This window comes from Homo sapiens, chromosome 2 (genome assembly GCF_000001405.40).
Source record: "Homo sapiens chromosome 2, GRCh38.p14 Primary Assembly".
NCBI classification, from domain to species: Eukaryota; Metazoa; Chordata; class Mammalia; order Primates; family Hominidae; genus Homo; species Homo sapiens.
The window spans coordinates 38183624-38203312 of NC_000002.12; the positions used below are offsets into that span (position 1 = coordinate 38183624).

Genomic DNA, 19689 nt, shown 5'->3' on the forward strand with positions numbered 1-19689 from the left:
CCTGGCCTCAAACGGTCCTCCCAACTTGACCTCCCAAAGCACTGGGATTACAGGCCCGAGAACCACACACAGCCTGCTGTGAGTGATTTTAAGAGAAGCTGTTAGAGATTGGGGCCCTAGCATCTCATTGAATCACTGGTTGACACCACCACAGCCTCCCAGCTCTCAAGCAATTCCTAGGAAAACAGGAATTCATCGGGAAAATATTCTTGATCCTGATACCAAAATTAACAAAGGGGGCTGCTTCTTGTGTTGTATTCTCAACAGCAGAAATGACAGTTGTGCCCATCAAAACCCCCAGAGACCCTGACCAGCAGGGAAGAGCAGTAGCAAGGAGATAGGAGAGAAGGGTGGTATAAAGAGTTTACCTTCTTTATTTTTCTCTGTCCACAGTTCCTTTACGCGGAAAGCTATTTACAGCAGCCACAGTCTCTGTTTGGTTTGGCATGACACTGACTTTCTATGGATAAGTCAGGATCTCATGTCCTCATCTAAAAATGGTACCATATTGAATGACGCTTTACCTTCATTTCTCTCACTTCACTGGTTTTGGATGAGCATAGGGGCACCTTTGGGTCAGAGTACTTTTCAGAGAGGGACAGTCAATAAAAAGCCTTCGTGTATAACTAGTCCATTTTCATGCTGCCGATAAAGACATACCTGAAACTGGGTAATTTATAAAGAAAAAGAGGTTTAATGGACTCACAGTTCCACATGGCAGGGGAAGCCTCACAATCATGGTGGAAGGTGAATGGCACGTCTTACATGGCGGCTGAGAAGACAGAATAAGAGCCAAGTGAAAGGGGTTTTGCCTTATAAAACCATCAGATCTCATGAGACTTATTCACTACCATGAGAACAGTATGGGAAAACTGTCCCCATGATTCACCTATCTCCCACCAGGTCCCTCCCACAACACGTGGAAATTAAGGGAGCTACAATTCAAGATGAGATTTGGGTGGGGACACAGCCAAACCGTATCAGTGTGCCCAGAGAGAGAGTGGGTAAGAGGAATAGACCAAAACTTGAACTATGAGAAAGAGAAGTAAGACGGTAGGGAAGACTGTAGTTCAGAATCTGTAAGTTATAACTGACTTCTCACAGCCTGGCAAAAAATTGGAAGCTGGAGTATAGGACATAAATTCATGAGCAGTAGCAATTTTAGCCAAGTCGAGAGAAAAGCATTGAACTTCAAATGAAAATAATGTTCAAAGAGGTGAACATGAAGTTCATTCAAGATGTGGAGGGAATTATGAGCAGGGAGATGCATGCCAAGAGAAACTAGATGGTATTTGAAAAAAGTGAGATTCAAATTAAGGTTCACACACAGAGAGAGAGAAAGAGGGATAAAACAAAAATATTTTAATGGTTTCCTTTTCCTGTGGTCTGCTTTAGAATTCACCCAAAAGCCAATTGTTTCTGTGGTTATTCAAATTTTGTTTCTCTTCTCACTCCCTCCTCTTGTCTATCCTCTGATCCCCAGCATTTGGACAGAATAAGAGAGAGGAAGTAAAACTCAAATCATTTTACTTTACTTTTTCTTGGCCATTTGGCTAAGAGATGTGTGGGGTGAAGAGGTGCTTGTGGCCAAAGTGTGATTTGTAAAATGTGTGGGTATTTTTTGTTTGGTTGGTTTTGCTTTTAGCTGCTATACTTATGTTACCCCAGTTTACCACATCCAGTCCTCTTTGGGCACAAAGGGAAAGACTCAACAAACATTTGTTGAGTGGCTTGACTCAGCTTTGCTCCTTCTCCTGAGTATTCCTCCGTGGAGTTTTAGCAACTTCCCATAGGAAATCCAGGCTAAGGTCTGATTCATCCAGTCCTGAATAATGTGTTAATCATGAATTGGATAAAAATCATGAATTGGATACTACTCAAGAGGATAAGCTGTTTTCAAACATCTTAGCAGTAAATATTTGCAAACCAACAAGAAACACACTAAATACAAATGGCGTTTCTCAATTCATTAGAGCAAGCCTGCAAGAACCTTGACCTGGGAGTAGTGAGGCCACTTTCTCAGCCACTAGTTCATGCCATTATATATACATACCAGTTTTAACAATACATTATTTTTATAATTTTCAATGTTTGAGATTATTCATGAACCTGAACTGCCCTTCAACCTGTAAATCTGAATAAGTGAGGTTTTACTATGATTTACAAAACCATAAAACAAGACAGAAAGAGGTCTGTTCATCTAATAGTGGCTGTTTGTTTCTCCTTTCCTTTTTGGAGAGGAGGGAAAAAAAGAGCAAATGTCTATCTAGCAAGATGACGTAGGGCTGGATAAAAAGATAAATGCCTCTGAGGTGTGTAGGGATATTACAAATGTGATTTGGAAGAAAGACAAGATCTGAGGGGGTGGGAAGTTCAGTGTAGAAAGTCTCTTCTATCAGGACATGGATTCTAATTCTCTCCTACCACACTGGGCATAACCATCAGGGAATTTAAAGTCCCTTCCATGCCAGGCATGCCCCATCACCTAGGAAGAAACTCAACCCATCAGCAGGCATCCAAAAAGGCGTCAGCCAGGTAGGGTCCCAAAGAGCCCCACACCTTGGGTTATCTGGGAAAATCCCAAGTTATTTAGAAGACAGTGTACCTCTTGCCTCTACCCTTGGTGGTAAACATTGCTTCAGAGTCACACACACACAAAAAGATAAGCTTTTTTCTCAATTGAAAACTGGAAAGTTGAAAGAGGAAGTAAAGAGAAAAAGAAAGACATATACTATAATCCAGGAGTCCCACATGTTCAGAAACTCTTCACCTGTGAATCTACATTTTACTGAGTTCACATCTGCCTTCTGAAGGGTAACCACTCTTTACCCCCCAAATTCAACTCATTACTTGTTCAACTTTGACCAAGAGGTTTTTTTTTTTTTTTTTTTTTTTTTTTGAGATAGTCTCGCTCTGTTGCCAGGCTGGAGTGCAGTGGCGCGATCTCAGCTCACTATAAGCTCTACCTCCTGGGTTCACGCCATTCTCCTGCCTCAGTCTCCTGAGTAGCTGGGACTACAGGCGCCCACCACCACGCCTGGCTAATTTTTTTGTATTTTTAGTAGAGATGGGGTGTTTCACCGTGTTAGGCAGGATGATCTCGATCTCCTGACTTCATGATCCACCTGCTTTGGCCTCCCAAAGTGCTGGGATTACAGGCATGAGCCACCGTGCCCAGCCGACCAAGAGATATTTTTAAGAAAAGTCTCATAAAAGCATAAAATTTTATATATGGCAAAAGCAATCAACATCTATAGAAAACTGATAAACACATATGACTCAGAGGAAGAAATTTCCCTCTATGTATTATTTACTGTTAAACTTACTATGGCTTATAAGGCCTTGATCATCTAAACACTTGTTTCGATTTATCCATTCTCTTCCTCTCCTCTTCAGCCTTCTTGAGATTGTGGGTCATCTCCAGGGATACTTCTCCACAGTTCTACTATCAGTGTCTAAGGGATTCAGGTTAGGGCAACACACACAAAAAGTCAAATTCAGTTATTCAAGCACCAATTAGATAATGAACATCTGCCTGGGGTACTCACGACATTCTGGGCTAAATATTCCCCCAGAGAGAAGAATAAGGGAGTACTCAGTGGGTACTAATGTCTGGTCTGTGACATGACAATGAAGTGAAGATTAAGTTCCATCTTTACCCCCATTCACCATTTATCTCCCAATCTCTCTTCCCAAGTCATTCTTTTTTTTTTTTTTTAATTATACTTTAAGTTTTAGGGTCATTCTTATCTTCTTCTCATCTCTTACCTGTTTTTTCCTGACCCTAATTCCTCAAAGAAGCTTAATTCACTTCTAGATCCCCTCCTTCCCCCATGAATATAAAGAAAATAACTATATCTAGTTCTTTTAGATGTTCAAATTGACTTGATTGCTAGCTGAAATCAAAATTGACCAGCTGAAGTGGTTTTCAAGAATGTTAATTCTTATTCTGACCACTGGATTAGCACAATGGGCCATTGTACACATAAGTACACCCACAAGGCAGTCAGTAAAATAGACAATGCCTAAAGCTGTAGATACACTATATACATGGCATGAATCTTTTATTCATTTGTTTAGTCTACAGCAGGAAGCCAACTGCCTCACTTCAGGCCAGAGGGAGAATGCTGAGATATTGTACGAATACATGCAATTTTCCAAGCTTCAGGAAATTTGAACTGAAACATTGACAGGAAAGAGCCCATAGTACACTTGCATGTTGAGCTGGTGTTTAAACTCTTTTTCCCATGTAATGAGCTCATATCCAAAATGTTGACTCAACGTGCATGAGGACTTGGCAAGTCCTGTGGGGAGGAGCGCCCTGTCACGGGAAACAGGAGAAAAACAAGGCCGGCTCAGCACATTCTCTCAGAGCACACAGGCCTTCATGGGCCAGAGTTTCTGTTATTAAAAATAAGAAAAGAAAAAAAACAGAGAATGTCTCCTCTTAATCCAGCAATAACTCCAAGAAGATAATAAGTCAACAGTCACTTTTTTCATGGCTACCTACTACAGAGTGTCCTAGTAAAATATATACTTGATACATTAATATACGCTTTAAAAAGAATAGCAGTTAGACATTAACCAATATCTGTTTTGGTTATGTTAAAGTCACAAATGTTTAAAATGCCCATCGTTTCACAGTCAACCACATATAAGATATATCTTGCTTTATTAAGTGTATTTAACACCTAAAAGTGCCACACACTTTCCAGGGCACACTCATCTGAGGGAGTTTGTAGAAGATGCAGTGCTCATGGGGCCCTAGGTTGTTAGCTCTGAGGCTGCCATGCTTCATTCACCAACATGTATTCCCTTACAACTTGGGCCCAGCAACAACAGATTTACTATATAAGCCTCCAGTACTTCCTGAAAAAGTCCTTTCCAAATACCCTCAAAAACAAACAAACAAACAAAAACAGTCCTCTTTCTGTGTTTCAATCAAGGCTATAAAAGTAACCCATGTTAAAAAGCCAGGATGGCTGCAATGAATGGAGCACACAGAAGGCCTCCTGAGCAGTATAGACTTTATTTTTCCATCGTGGGGCTCCTGTAATTTTTAAAAGTCTGTTTGAAGATATTAATTTGGCAGGAATGAGGAAGATGGATTCAAGGGATTAGGAACTGTAGGGAGATGTAGCAAGTGGATGAAGGCCTGGACATGAATAATGTTCACAAGAATGGGAAGGAGGGAAAGATTAAAAGGGATATTTAGAAAGAAGAACTGACAAGCCTTGGTAACGGAGCAGATATAGGAGATAATGAGGAGAGAGGAGTTGGAGTTGGAGTTGGTGAGGAGAGATGGAGTTGGAGTTGGATACAGTGACAACTTCGAAGTTTCTATCCAGAGGCTGGGAGTGTGATGGGCCATTGACAGAAATGGCAAACGGAGAGCTGGTTTGCAATGGATCAAGATGAGGGTTGAACTCAGAGATTCTTAAATCTAAAACATCTCAGAAGGCACCAAGCCCAATTTTATACTTCCTTTCTGTATATTAGAGACTGAGGCCCACAGAGGAGAGGATAAAGACCCGTTGAAGGTCTTAGTTAGTTGGCATGGAGCAGACACTAGTACCCAGTCTTTGGTCTCTTGTTTCTATGCCTATGATCATTATTCAATGGTCCTGTGCCTAAGCTAGAAATCTTTTGATTGCGAGTGATGGAGAACCCAACCCAATTTGACTTGAATAAGTAAAGGAATTTATTGGCTCTTACAAGTGTAAAGTCCAGAGGTTTCAGTTGAGGCATGGTCCAACAGCTCAACATTTTCACTGAGCACCTAGTTTCCTTTTGTCTAATCTCTGCCCAATATTGTTCATAGTTCCAAGATGTTCACCAAGAGGTCCCTGAGCTGTGTGCTTTCTCATTTACATCCAGCAGGAAAGAAAGAAGGTTTTTGTTCTAGAATTCCAAGCAAAAGTCCTGGGATTCACTCTAATTGGATTTGCTTGGTCATATGTCCACCCATGGCCAACCACATGGCTGGGGAGCCAAATGTGCTGGTCTGGGTCACATGTTCCACCCCTGGAGCCCCAGGTAGAATCAGATTCCATAGAGCCAAATGGATTCCCAAACTCCAATGAGGGCTGCTAGGAAGAAAATAACAGAAGCTACAGCATCAACCAACAAATGTCTATTACACATTGTTTGGCTAAATCTCCTTCTGTTTTTTCCATAGCAAGTTTATGACTTTTATTTTTATTTTATTTTATTTTGAGGTGGAGTCTCGCTCTGTCACCCAGGCTGGAGTGTAGTGGCACGATCTTGGCTCACTGCAAGCTCCGCCTCCTGGGTTCACGCCATTCTCCTGCCTCAGCCTCCTGAGTAGCTGGGACTACTGGTGCCCGCCACCACACCCGGCCAATTTTTTGTATTTTTAGTAGAGATGGGGTTTCACCATGTTAGCCAGGATGGTCTCGATCTCCTGATCTCGTGATCCGCCTGCCTCGGCCTCCCAAAGTGCTGGGATTACAGGCGTGAGACACCGCACCCGGCCTATGACTTTTATTGTTAGATACAATGATGAAGTGGTTTGTCCACAAGTTTTAAAAATATACAGAAATCAGAATTGCCATACTCACCATGGAAAAAAGGGAGCACAGCTTTAACAAGAACATTTTAAAGAGAAAGAAAAGTAATTAGGGTGAATAAATTCAAATTTTAGACAAAGTCAGTCATGGTGACATGTGCCTGTAGTCCCAGCCAGCTACTTGGGAGGCCAAGGTGGGAGGATCCCTGGAGCCTAAGAGTTTGAGTCCAGCCTGGGCAACATGGGAAGACCTTGTCTCTTAAAAAAAAGAAAAAAAGAAAAGAAAAAATTGGTAAATGCAGCCAAGTCTTTGTCACTAAAATATATTCTAGGCAACATTCTTCAAAGCCAAGCAAAGTCTGTGGCTGCTGTGTGCTGGGGCTATTTCCTCTCAATTCAATCATGGGTTGGGGTGATGGTTAATAACCCTGAAATTTAAGGTCTTTTGTCAGTCTGGCATCAATGATGAGTGGTGTGACAAGGCTTGGTGTATCACTGATAATTGCTTAGAAATGACTCCACACTACCCAGTTTTTTGGTGTATTTTTCAGCAGTATTGCATAAGAAAGTCTTTAGCAGCCACTGGTACATGCTTCTGAGAAGCATTTGACCACAGAATATCTTAGATTCAAAACACATTGCTTTGTGGGAAGAAAGGCACCACCCAGCACACACACCCATCCTAATTTTGAATGGACTTAATTTCTGAATTCTAGACACTGCCTCACAATGATATAAAAACAACAAGAGCCTCATTAAAACCCCAGAGGCTGAGCCCACAAACAGGAATTCATAGAGTCTCTAAGAGAAAGATATCTGGGCAACATTTCTAAATTTTGAGCTGTCTGGCTGGTTGAGACAGATGATCTGATGGCAAGAATGATTTGCAAAAAATTCAACACTGACCAATCAGAGCAGACAGTCTAAATAAACATCGATTCTTACAAGGCTACCTTCCTTACCAGTTAAATATCAGTCCTGCCTCAGAGAAACATAAGATCTAAAGAGGAAAATCTACACAAGATTGTGTGTGGGCCAGAAAGGCCGCCGTGAATGGTGAGAAGGTGAGTCAATCCATCCATCCTAAGTCAAAGAATCCAACCAGTTCCATGGAGGAGGCACAGAGGAAAAGAGGAAGGAACAAAGTGGAAGAAGAAGAGAATGAAGAGGTGGGAAGAGATGGGCAAGGATGGGAGAGCAGAAGCCAATCAAGAGAAGAAGGAAAAGCAAACAGAAGAGAGTAGAAAGGAATGGGGGCCAGAAACAAGCAGGAATCATGAAGAGTGGGGAAAGGAGAGACTTTGGAAATTCAAACAAGTAGAGGAGTGAAAAAAATAGTGATGAAAGGTAAGAAAGGTAAGGTAGGAGATGTGTGAAATTGCAATAAGAAAAATGGCAGTGTTTATGCGTGATCATTGAGTCTTACTTGCATTACACTTGCATTACACTTACACTGTGTAATGCAGGGCTCAGAAAACTTTTTCTCTAACCAGTCACATGGTAAATAGTTTAAGTTTTGTGGGTGGTGCAGTCTTTGCTCAGCTACTCAGCTCTGGTGGTGTAGCATGAAGACAGCCATAGACAATAAGTAAACAAGTGGGTGTGGCTGTGTTCCAGGAAGACTACGAATACCAGTGATGGGTCAGACTTGGCCCATGGGTCATAGTTTGCTGAATCCTGGTATAATATAAATCTTCTGCAGACAAAAGTGCTTCTTACATTTTTGGCACCCACAACACCTAGATACACAATACCAGGTATGTTACAACTGCATGGAAAAGCCACTTTATAGGCCAAATGGCAGCAATTTTCAATGGCTTTTTTTTTTTTTTATAACTTTTGACCTACAAAATGTCAGTTTCCTGTGATGCCACCCTACCTGCTACTAGACTGGCCATCTGATCCCCACTGGAGAAGCCACAATCATAGGGAAGGAATATTCCATTTGGGGACAGATAAAGTCAATGAAAAGATAGATGTTCTCAGTACAGCCCAGGCCAGCATGAGCAAAGGTGGATACTTAATGTCTAGTCAGCTTGCATGCCATGACAAAATACCACAGACTGGGGACTTAAACAACAGAAGCTGATTTTTTCATAGTTCTGGAGGCTGGACACAAGATGAGGGTGCCAGCATGGTCAGGTTCTGGTGAAGTCTCTCCTCCTGGCTTCAGACAGCTGCCTTCTCATTAAGTCCCATATGGCCTTTTCCTCTCTCTCTTCCTCTTCTTATAAAGCCATTCATCCCATCATGAGGACCCTAATTTCATGCCCTAATCTAACCCTAATTACCTCCCAATAAATTTCATCTCCAAATACCCTCACACTGGGGATTAGGGCTTCAACATATAAGCTTGGGGAGGGGGAGATACAAATATTCAGTCCATAACCCTTAAGAAAGGCCTTTCATTGATTTTCATCTTAAACAAAAATATTCTTACCTGTTTTTTCTGGAAACGAATAACCAGCCTGTATGACACTCCTTGGGCTCCACCTCTCACCTGGATATATTACAACACTGTGCATAGGAGAGATTCACCAGATAGCTGATAGAGAACTTTACATTCAGTACTTAAAGCTTTCCTATTGTGAGAGAGAACTCCATCCAGCATAGGAAATAGCTCCACAGAGTTTTTATCTGAGCCACATACTGCCTCAGAGATCAGAACCCAAGCAAAAACTCTGCTTCTTTAATTCATACGCTCCCTTATTTCCTCACCTTGGGCTCTTCAAATGCCCCCAGCTTGACTGTGGAGCTGGCTTCCTCTCCAACCATCATTAATTTCCCAGAGGGGCCTGTGGTACTTGGGAATAGCTTCGGTGATGAGAGGCAACAAGGTCTAGCCAAGCACAGCTCTCTAGGTCTTGAAACATCCTTAAGGCCTAAGCCTAGTATCATAGACACGGGCTTGTTCTAACCCCAAACTCAGACCTCTAACAATGACCTCACTTCCACTTGCTTCTTTTGTGATTTAGAAGAGCACCTTGCAGCCTCTGAAATGCGCAGTTCTTGCTTGGTGAAGGGTTCCTGTTTTAGGAAGCCAGCACTACTATTTCATTGCCTCTAAGGCACAATGCAGGGCATTTGAGGTTGATTTTGTGGTCGGTTTGTTTCCTTTATTTTCATTTGTTACCCAGCACCATGCCCATATTTCCAAGTTTGTCTTGGCTCCTGATTTCAGTCATTCTTTGGGCACCAATGGCTTTCCCAAGTCATTTACCAGGGTAGCACAAGATGCCTTACAAATTACCAGAGTAAAGTAATGGCCCCAACAGGTATGCTTTTGAGGCCACATGAGGAGATACACAGCTGCAGGATTCCCTATCAGCAAAGACTGAATGATGTCAAACGTTCAGAAAAGGAGAAACTAAGTGGGTGTAGCACAATCAATCACTTTGCATTTCAAGGTGAACTTGCAGCTCTTATGGGGAGGGAATTCTCTATGTCATTTTCCACGTAAATAAAGTAATGAGACCACTTTGTTGTAGCAAAGAAATTCAGTTTGTTTCTAGAAGCAGATGTGTGTGCATGGGTGAGTGGGCATGTGCATATTTGCTTTAAAACATTTTCCAATAACTGCTGACAACAGCAACCTGAAGCCTCCAGGCACCCAGTTTCTCCCCATCCTGAGATGATCTTTTTGCTCCTGGAGCAGCATTGACGTGTTCCATAGGATCATCCCTGTCCTCACTGGCCTGGCCTCTTCAGTGACCTGAAATCTGCATTTCCTGACCCTTCTTCCTGGGCCTCTTCTTCTCAGTTTCTCTACTCTTGTCACACAAAGTTACTCAACACCCAGTAGGAGCTTATCAGAGCCACAGCACCACGTTCCAAGGGCAAAGAAGGAGAAAGAGCTCCACATTTACATCCCAGCCTTGGATTTAAGCCTAGAGATCTTCCCTCCTCTACCCTCCCACCCCCATCACTTCCCCTTCCAGCACCCATCATTGCTCCCCCTGGTTGAACCTCGTCCTTGTGAGGTCCAAGTGAAAATTTCCCCTTTGTCCTCTGAAGGTTTACTGAAAATCACAGACAAGAGGTAGATTAATAGGAGAAAAGGCATGCAATTTATTGTTAATGTGTACACGAGAGCCTTCAGAATGAAGACCCAAAGATGCAAAGAAATTGTCCATGTTCAACAAAGTATGATAGCTTAGGTTCAATTAAGTATGGACAGCCATGTAGAAATATGATTCGACAAAAAGGCTATAATCTAACGCTAATAGACTGAGTGGGGATCCAGCAAGGCCTGTCTGCCTAGGTTCCTCTTGGCCTCTGTTCAGCATTCCTTCCTTCTGGTTATGGGCAGGACCCTCACTGGAATGGGGGTCTTATGACCTACAGTCAAACAAAGTAGGCCAGATAATTTCTTTGTGGCCAGTTTTTACGCAGAAAGGCAGGGGAATGTCAGAGTAATATTTTTAGGTTTTATGGCTGGCTTTGGAGAAAGGGGGTCCTGGTTTCTATGACTCACCTCGAAGATTCTAGTTTCCATGGCTAGCCTAGGTGGAGACTGGGACTGAGACAGGAGGGCAGGATAAGGTCAGGGCAAAACTTGTGCTTCCTTTGGGGCACTGCTTTCTAAGTCCAAACACTGTTTTCTGCAGCCCACTGCTCACCATTTTCCTTCATGAGGAGGAGAAAGTCTCAGTTTACTAAACTTTTCTAGCCTCTGTTCCTGCCTCTATAAATGGTGATAATACAGTTGTGCTGTGTGCTCGCCCGGGGCTATGGTGAGGAATCAATGAGGAAATATACAAAAGAGCCCTAGCACAGAACCTGATTCATCACTGATGCTCGGTGAGTGTTCATTATACACCCCCAACACCTCTACTAACCATGTTGACTGTGACTAAAGTAAATGTAGATTGGCAAGTCACACTCTGGAATAAAGCTTCCCAACCCTGACGCCTGACACAATCACCTGGGAGCTTTAAAAAGCACCATGCCTGGCCGCCACAATCATCTCTTGCCCTGAAATATCCTGAGGGTTTGGCCTCCCTTGTTCCTTGTTTTGATATTAGGCAACATTCCTAGGCCACCAGAGCAGCTATTTGATTTTCTTTTTCTTGTCCTTCTCTTTCTCCCTTTTCCACTAAGTTTTGGGGATAATCTGTTGCACTGCAATAGATACCTAATATAGTCCTCTTTTCACCACGTGGCATTCTGATGTCCCTGACTTTCATAGCTATTTCATTTTTGCATGACTTTTCTTTCCCAGAAATAAAGTGTTCATTAAATTTGCATGTCCTGATGCATTCATGCATTATTCTTTAATTTTGATATATTGGCCTGATCTGTTAGCCTTCTTAAAAATGAATGTGGCCAGGCATGGTGGCTCACGCCTGTAATCCCTACACTTTGGGAGGCCAAGGCGGGCAGATTACCTGAGGTCAGGAGATTGAGACCAGCCTGACCAACGTGGTGAAACCCCATCTCTACCAAAAATACAAAAATTAACTGGGCATGATGGCAGGTGCCTGTAATCCCAGCTACTCGGGAGGCTGAGGCAGGAGAATCACTTGAACCCGGGAGGTGGAGGTTTCAGTGAGTCAAGATGGCGCCACTGCACTCCAGCCTGGGTGACAGAGTAAGACTCTGTCTCGGGAAAAAAAAAAAAAAAAAAAAAAAAAGAACACTTTCTTTAGTAGTAGTTGCTTCTCATTAGTGGAGCCATGTTGAGATTTCATCTCTTAAGAAATGAAAGATGACCTCCCTCCTTAGAATACTGAATAATTCATCAGGGCGGGGTACAACTGTGGAGCTCTCCTGCTACTCCTGATCTCTTGAGCCCCATTCCTTTCTAATTATTAAATGGCACAATGCCGAGGAATCCCTCCTGCTCCTGAAACAGACTTCTCCAGGGGCGTCATGGCTGACTCTCAGGTCCCTCAGTTTATTCTCTCCTGCTTGTGCAGAACGAAACAAATACAAATCAATATTTTAAAACAGACATATACTTAATATTTTTTAAAAGCCAGAATATCTACGTATACTAATTTGCTTGTCTGTTATATTCACCTCTTTTTGTATGATAGCTATGTTTTTATACACTTATCTCATTAGAGTATTATACCAAACTCATAGCCTTTCACAAAAACAACTTGCATTAATGAAGCCGTGATTGCCTTTTATTTGATGTTCACATTTTCACAGTGGGGCTAGCAAAAACTCCTTTAAGTACTGCCTCTGATATTCTCGAACACTCCTTTTTTTCAGTCCACAACAAAAAGATGTTCCAAGCCATCCTCGCTTTTTTTTTCCCTAAGACTGCAATTAACTAACTTCCAAGAAAATTTGATTGCTTTGAGAAAAGAATAGCATCAGAAATCACAATTCAAGCTTCTCACCTGTGCATCAGCAGTGAAGAGAAATGCTGGTCCTTTCACTACCGCCACTTAGGGCCTATTTTGTGACAGAGCCAGTAAAGATGTTTTTCAGAGTGAGGAATTCCTACTGATTTTCCTTACAGAATGTATTATGTTGCTATATATTGTTTTAGTCAGCCAGGGTCTCTTAAGAAAAATAGAGTGAGTATTACTAGAAAATCTAAATGTGGGTAGATTTCCAGTCAAGCAGCTAGGCAGAGGCGTCCAGAGACTCCCCGTGCTCAGCATAGCGTTGTGCAGCCTTGCAGGGGGATGCCTTGGGAGAAGGGAGCAGTAGCAGGGCTCACAGCTGGCTCCGTGGCACTGCCTGTGGATCTGCATTGCCTTCTGTTAGGATTAATGCTTTGTCTCCAGTTTATTTTTTTTCTTTTTTTTGAGACAGAGTTTCGCTCTTGTTGCCCAGGCTAGAGTGCAATGGCGCGATCTCCACTCACCGCAACCTCCCGAGTAGCTGGGATTACAGGCATGTGCCACCACACCCAGCTAATTTTGTGTTTTTAGTAGAGATGGGGTTTCTCCATGTTGGACAGGCTGGTCTTGAACTCCCGACCTTAGGTGATCTGCCCACCTTGGCCTTCCAAAGTGCTGGGAGTATAGGCGTGAGCCACCGTCTTAGTCTCCAAATTTGTTACTGGACTCCGAGCAACCCTGATGCACTGCTGTAGAGTGCCAATCTCCCAGTTTGCTCAAGACTGAGGGGTTTTCCAGGATCCAGAATTTTCCATTTTCAAGCTGGGATTGTCCTGGGCCGACTAGAATGAGATGGTCACCAGGTCACCAGTGAGCTAGTAGCAGAACCACTCAAGGAGCTCATCACCTCCTGCACAGAGCAGGAAAGAGACACTCTGCCCTCTGCTCAGCAGAATACCAGAGGACAGAATAAAAATATATTTGGGACTTACTCAGAATCAATGGGAACTTAAGAGTCCCGCTGCAGTGCAGACAGATTCTTCAGTGCATAGGGCCAAGGTAATTACAGGCAAAGCTAAAAGAGGTTGTGGTAAACATATAGCTGTGAACAATCGTCTTATTAACAAAGTCCTGGTCTAGCTGTAAAGCCTGGTTTTCCTTCCCTGTCTCAGAGAGCTCTGTGGAAGGTAGTTGGTAGATCTGAAAGTCCACAAGCAGATTCTCCAGGTGCAAGGAGAAGTGTACAGAGGAAAGCCTTTGTAAATCCACACTCAGAAACTGGGCCTCACATTAGAGGTCAAGTTTAGGTGGGAGTGTATTCACAAGTACCCTCATGCATATTGGTTTTACTATTCTACACTCAGAGCCTTGGCTACCCAAGAGCCAAATGTGTCCATGAACTCTGGGAAGATCCTGCGAAGGCCAGACAATTCCTGGGGCATTCTGTGAAGCTAGGAAGCCAGAGTTGGAAGGGTCCCACTCTGCCTCAGCCCTCACATGACCTGGTCCAACATTGCCTTACAGATGAGGAAAACTGAGGCCTAGAGAGGTAAAGAGACTTACCTAAAAGGCATGGTTGGCCACTGTTAAAGTTGGGATTTAAAACCCAAATTTCCCAACTCTCTGCACTAAATAAATTCTGCAATGCTGCTTCCATTGCAATGAGAGTTTGAATACTGAGTGTGAGCTACTTTTCTGGGCTTCTAATTTCTGAGAACAAAGTTTAGCAGAGGAAGAGAATCGTGAAATAATTTAGTTCATTTCATGGGGCACCAATAGCATTCAAATACTTTCAGTCGAGGTCATGTTCATCCACAGCACAGCCTTGACCTTAGCAAGAGCAGCAGGCAGATTGAGTGGATTCAATTCCAAGATTGTCTCCTATTTTGTCTCTTTAGGCTTAAATGCTTTAGCACCATTTCAAGGGAGAAAATTCACATCACAGAGGACAAAAAAAGCTGTCATTCTTTCTAAACACTAAACTTATTGTCATCTTAAGGTCTTGACTGTTGGTGTTCCTTCTGCTTATTTACATTCACATGGCTTCTTCCTTGTCCTTGGTCAAGTCTCAACTCAAATATGATTCCCTCCAAAAAGCCTTTCCTTGTTACCCCAATTATAGCAGTTTATAATCAGCCCCAATCTTAACTCATCTGTAGTGAATTAAATAACATCTCCCAAAAATTCACCTCCACCAAAGCCTCAGAATGTGACCTGATTTGGAAATGCCATCTTTGCAGACATGATTAAGGTAAGGATTGGAATAAGATAATCCTGCATTAGGGTGGGCCCCAGATCCAATGAGACTGTCCTTAAAGTCCTCCACAGCCTAACTCCAGGCTACCTCGCCAGTGTGGATTGTCTACACTGACTGCCTGCTCCTGGAAAACTGATCTTCCTACCAACCAAACAGCTGGCTTCAGCTTCTCGCCATGCAAGTTCCTGCCACATGCCACTTCTCTACCTAGGAAGTTCTCCCTCCTTTCACCTGAACCTGTCCAAATGTTACTCTTCCTTCAAAATAGGGCTCCAATCTCAAAATTTCTGCTCCCATGGGGTCTTTCCTGATGCCGTGCTGCCGGGCACAATCTCAGGAGACTCCAGCACCACTGTTTACACCACCCTTGTGTGTGTGTGTGTGTGTGTGTGTGTGTGTAAGTGGACCTCCAATGGACTATGTGCTCCTACAGAACAGGAGCTGTATTTTGAAGTTGTTTTGTTTGTCTACTTGTTTTGGTTTTGTTGTTAGTGTTCTTTTCTTTCCAGGCCTTGAATGCTCTATGGACTATGTGACAATATGTAGAATAAAAGACAGATTGCTTGGTTACATGAACAGATTAATAGCATGTTACTTCGCTCCACCCTAAAGCAAGTCCTCTCAGCCACACCCCACTGCAATGCAGTCTACATGTGACTTCTTGGCCATAATTACCAAATGGATTCAGAGGCAGAGAAGAGGGAAAATGGCAAGTCCCTTTTCTCAGGCTGCTGAGATAATTTGCTTAGAGGACTTAAGAGGTAGCTCTTTAGGATTCCCAGAAATAATTGGGGAAATATTTGAGGGTCCCACACAATCAGGGAAGATAGTAAAAAAATACTCACCACTTTACTTTGAGGTCACTGTTGCTGCCATCATCACCCCAGAGTTGTTTCCTACTCTTGGTTATCTGGAGTCACACTGAGCTCAAAACAGATGGCCCTGAAACTGCTCTCTGAAGCAGTGAGCACACACCGTCTAAACACACAAATATGCGCATGCACGTGCACACACACACACACACACACACACACTTGTATGTCACCACTGAACTAGTAACCCCAAGCAAGCTGACCAAGTGCTCTTCTCCTGAAGTTTCAGAGATTTCATTGCAGAAACACAATTTACTTTTATGAGCAGCACTTCTGTCCCAAGGCCTCAGACTAAGCTGGTAAGTACTGATTCCAGGACAAAATGTGACCCACATCCCGAAGTGTCCTGCATTCCTCTTTCTGCCCCTTATAGGTTCTTTACCTGCAAACTCTCTCCCTCTTGTCCAAAACATTTTACCTGCTCTGTCACCTTTGCATGATCACAGGTCCTTCGCGTTCCACAATCAGTTATTTCCGTACCAGGTTTGTTTTATCACTTTGAACCTTAAAACACAGGGAACAAAATTTTACCCACTGTCAAACTGAATCTGTCCATTGTGAGATGCTACACCACTGAATTTTGCTGTGCATCCGTCCAATTGGAAAAGGAATGAATGTGAAAGTTTCATTTAAAACACTCCTTCATGAAACTCTCTGTGCATCAAATAACTGAAAGCCCAAACCACTGATCAGTTAGTAAAGCTGTGAAGCCCTCTCAATTGTCAGAAGCAATTTGAAATTGAACTGAAAAATATCTCACGGTCTCTTAGAAACAGACACGAATTGTGGTTTGTAACCCAATGTGGAAATAGTTACGGAGAAAGTGACAACCTCTTGTGAGGTGTGTGCGCTCTTCCTCCAAGTTCTTTGTTCTAAGGTCAGAGGGCTGATCACCTCACTGCTGCCCTACATAGTCCCCTCAGCACCAGAAAATGCTCACTTACCACCAAATTTACTTCCAAACTGTAGTTTATCAGAATATAATTTTATTTTCTGAAAGAAGTGCTTCAACTTTGTGTATTGGCACAAGATAACTATAAACAATACCAAAGAAAACGGTCCCCTATAATCTGGCCATTTATGGACACAGCACCAGAGGGAAAAAAACTTTAAACATAAATTAAGAAAGTTCTCTGTAAGAGCTCTTGTTGAATTATAGCTGACAACAGTACACACAGCACAGTCACGCCACTGAATTCTTTCCAGCTCCAGCTCCATAATTCACCTTCTCCCACATGTCCTCTATTCTTGAACTTAGAAGACTTTTCTCAATAAGGGTCACTAAGGGGATCCCAGTTGGGAATAGAAGAACAAAAAAGTTTAGTAACTATTCCAAGAGTCATAACATCGTAGGCAATAAATGCTGCATTTAAAGACTACAGATTTAAGATTGTGAGCAGCTTCTACCAGACACTGCATTACCCTGGTAAAGTCACCTGCCTTCTTTGAGCTTCAGTTTTCTCATCTGGCAGTTGTTCAATGGGTTTAGTCATTTGCAATCATTTTTATTACCTTCTAAGGTCCCCTTTAGGTACTGTGATGGAGAGGTAGACAGACAGAAAGATGATAGATAGATAGATAGATAGATAGATAGATAGATAGATAGATAGATAGATAGATGATAGATAGGTGGGAAAGCCTTAAAAACTCAAAAAAGTAAGGAAGGATGATCCCAAGAAATAAGAGGAACCAGAGCTCTTCTCCCTGGGTCTGAGAGAAGCTGGCCCAAGCCATCCTTCCCTGAGTCCTATCCTGCTCCTGCTTGGACTTCCCAGGACAGAATCCTCCCTGCTATGTGTGAGGCAGCCCCAGGCCCTTTGTACTGCTCCAGAGGTCTGGGGAGCAGTGTTCGAATGGGAAGAAAAGCATCCAAAAAAGAAAAACCAAAGAGCCAATGCCATAAATATGTAAATGCCCTTGAACTCTACTGAGAATTCCTCTGTGCCCCAATAGTTTCCTCCCCTCCATGTGGGTTATATTCTATTTTCCCAGGCATGGAGTAAGGGAGAAGAATAAAATTGGAGCTGGGTGGTGGGGGAGTAGCCTGGAAAAGACACTTATGAATGCAAAGAGGCCATAGATTTCATTACCAGGTGCATAGTATCATCAGCTCCCGGTCCAATGCTTACTCATAGCACAAGCTGATTAAATGGTTGTGGAGGAAGGGAGGGAAGGAAGGAAAAAAAGAAGGAGAGAAGGAAGGAAGGAAAATTGGTTCTTATGCTTTCTACTGGAAACTTTTTATCTATTCAAGGAAGAATTAATTTTTGATGTTTACTGGCTATATATTTTGCACTCTCCACCTTGCCACCACCACATATTTATACTGTGACCAACCTAGCTGAAATGAACTTATATTTTAAATGAGTCATTTTGCAGAGCAAGTAATAAATCAGCTATCAGGAGTAAGGAGCTCTCAGCAGGCCATACTGCTCCATTGCCAGGAGGGATTATTTTAGTAGTATCACACTAGGATTTCTGAATTTATGCCCTTAATTTATGAGACATTCATTGCAGGGGCTTTCCCAAGTGTTATTTTCATAAACAGCAGATTAATATAGGGGCTTTTTCTTGCATTTCTTTGGAAAAATCTTGCCCCCATGTAGAATATTCAAGCTCTGCTACCTATAAATAAGCTAATGTCTTTCCTCTGGGCTGTTGTCCCTTAGCCTTCAACATCTTCTAGTCTGAAGCAAAAATCATGCTTCATTTTGTTTTGCTATCTTTCTAATACAGTAAGAGCTTCAGGTCAAAGAACTGAAGAGAATGTGAGAGCTTGACCCTCTGTTATGTTTTTCGTTATTTGTAGATTTTCCTTATGCACTTGCCCTTCTGTGGAATCTTTCCTCTTCATTCCCTTATCCCTATTAGGATTCTACCAATTTATTGTTCTAACCTTGAAGAAACAGCTTTTTATTTACCTTCAGCTGTAGGTGGCCCACCAGGTGTCAACAACTGTAGAGTTCCATCAAGAGTCATCATTTTACAGTTACAAGTCGGAGGGGCCTTCACAGATCCGTCAGGCTCAACACTGCCTCCTTAGTGAGCCTGTGAACCACCCAAGACGGCTGGTCATCAGTGTCATCCTCTTCCTTTTCCGGACAACTATCTTTAAAAGAAAAAAAAAGAGTGTCTTTGAATGTATCCATTTTATCCCCAAATAATCTTGTTTAATAAATTCCTTATTAGGCCAAATCCAATGTGCTGAAATATCTGCCAAGCATGTCATTCTACACAAAAGGGATTTGCAAATAGCCAGTAGTTGGCGTGAAGAAAGGACATGTGAAAGCGCTGGGTGTGGAATTTCCCATCCTCGGCCGGAGGTCTACTACAGCTCGCTGTTTGCAGATCTGGGCTGAGCTATGCATCACATTGTTCATGAAAGAAAAAGCAACTGCTCTCCCCAGTGCCCCTTCCCCGCTCCACATGGCTGCGATCAGCAGCCCCAAGACCCTAATTGCCACAGCCTATTAGAAATAATGAGACTTACATGGCAGAAGCCAAGGGTAAAAGCGACATCTCGCAACACGAAAGGTTAATATCAACATATACAGCTAGTGAGTGCAAAGGGCACCTCAGTTGGTGGCTCATTATGGCGGGCTGACCCATAGGGAAAGTGTCATTCTGCAGAGAGGCCTTTCTCAGGATGTGGCAGCAAAAGTTACAAAAGATAAGGACTTGCCTGTGAAACGCACTCAACTAATGAGAGCTGAAGATTGTTTGAAATATCCC

At 42.7% G+C, this 19689-nt stretch overlaps 1 long non-coding RNA gene across 2 annotated transcripts in view; it reads right to left on the reverse strand.

Moving 5' to 3' along the window:
• Positions 1-684: 684 nt before the first annotated feature.
• The window catches only part of LOC102723739 (uncharacterized), a 55283-nt gene continuing 36278 nt past the window's right edge, over positions 685-19689 (reverse strand). The window contains exons 1-4 of one of the 2 annotated variants that reach the window (XR_427020.4): positions 18879-18965; positions 16376-16461; positions 3327-3455; positions 685-772 (exon numbers count right to left, since the gene is read on the reverse strand). This is a non-coding gene — a long non-coding RNA (uncharacterized LOC102723739). Of the gene's footprint in view, positions 773-3326; positions 16462-18878; positions 19067-19689 lie in introns of those variants that run through there. The other variant, XR_007086289.1, reaches the window with a different exon arrangement.